Genomic DNA, 1623 nt, shown 5'->3' on the forward strand with positions numbered 1-1623 from the left:
CTAGTATCACATGGACCCTAAATTATAATTTTCCTTAACTGTTCTATAAATAACAACTTGAATATTACAAAACATAAAGTTTCCTCTTTGTGATATTCTTTCAGGTCCTGCATACTGAAGAAACTACTAACTCAAGCTGATCTTAAGGTCCCCACTGACAGCAACTGATCTGAAGGACTCCATGAGGAGGTGACTAACCAAAGAATACAGTTTCTATATTCCGAAGATTTCATCCTCCTTACCACAACCAATCAACAATCTCAATTTTCTAGTCCTCCACCCTCCGTGATCTTAAAAATCTCAGCACAGAGCTCCTCAGGAGATGGATTTGAGAGTCTTGTCCCATTTTCTCACTTGGCACCCTGTAATCATTACTCTTTCTCTGCTGCATCCCTGCTGTCTCAGTGTAATTGGTCTGTTACTGCACAGCAGGCTTACAAACCTGTTGGTCCTATAACATCTTGGAACCGGAGATAGAACAAATTAAGTTATTACAAAACTCACTGTTCTTGCAGAGATTCAGACATTTTCTTTGAATAAATCATCTCTGAATTATTTCAAGTCTTTTGTATTCTCAGTGGTTCATAGAAAAATGATTCCAACAATCATCCAGGGTTCTCACAGCATTTTAAGGAGAGAGAATTTTTGAAGATTTCACCATATCCACTGATATCACCACACCAAGTATTTTTTTACTTTGTTTGTTTGTTTGTTTACAGACAGGGTCTTATTCTGTTGCCCAGGCTGAAATCAAACTCCTGGGCTCAAGCGATCCTTCCACCTCAGTCCTCTGAGTAACTGAGACTACGGGTGTGTGCCACGTTTTTTAACTTTTCAACTATCTTTTATATATTATGAGCTGAGTGAAATAATTGTCATTTAATAATATATACCATATAATATCAAAAGTATATTATAAAATATATACACATTTTTAGTTTATATATTTATAAAATTTAAATATTTATAAAGTTGATATCTAGATTAAAAAATATATAAAATATATATTTTATATATACATATATACACCTATAATATATACATATTATATATACATATGCATATGTATATATGTATATACATATATATGTATGTATACATATATTATATATAATGTATATACATATATATGTATGTATACATATATTTTATATAATGTATATACATACATATGTATGTATACATATATTATATATAATGTATACATACATATAATATGATGTATACATACAATATGATGTATACATACAATATAATGTATACATCATATAATATGATGTATACATACAATATAATGTATACATAGGTATATATGTATGTATACATATATGTATATATACATATTTATATATGTATATATAATATATACATATTTATATATGTATATATAATATATACACATATATTTCATATGCATAAACTTACCTCTGAAGTAGTACTATTTTTATCTCCTGTACCATATAATATTAGAGTATTGTAATTTAATTTCTGAAAGTATTATTATAGAATTGTGCTTTTTCTCTTTATTGATCAGCATTTGACTTACATACATAGTTTTCATCATTTCACTTTTTAGTTTTTCTGCAATTGGAAAATATCTTTTGTAAACAATGTAGCTGAATT

The sequence above is a fragment of the Homo sapiens genome, chromosome 11 (genome assembly GCF_000001405.40).
Source record: "Homo sapiens chromosome 11, GRCh38.p14 Primary Assembly".
NCBI classification, from domain to species: Eukaryota; Metazoa; Chordata; class Mammalia; order Primates; family Hominidae; genus Homo; species Homo sapiens.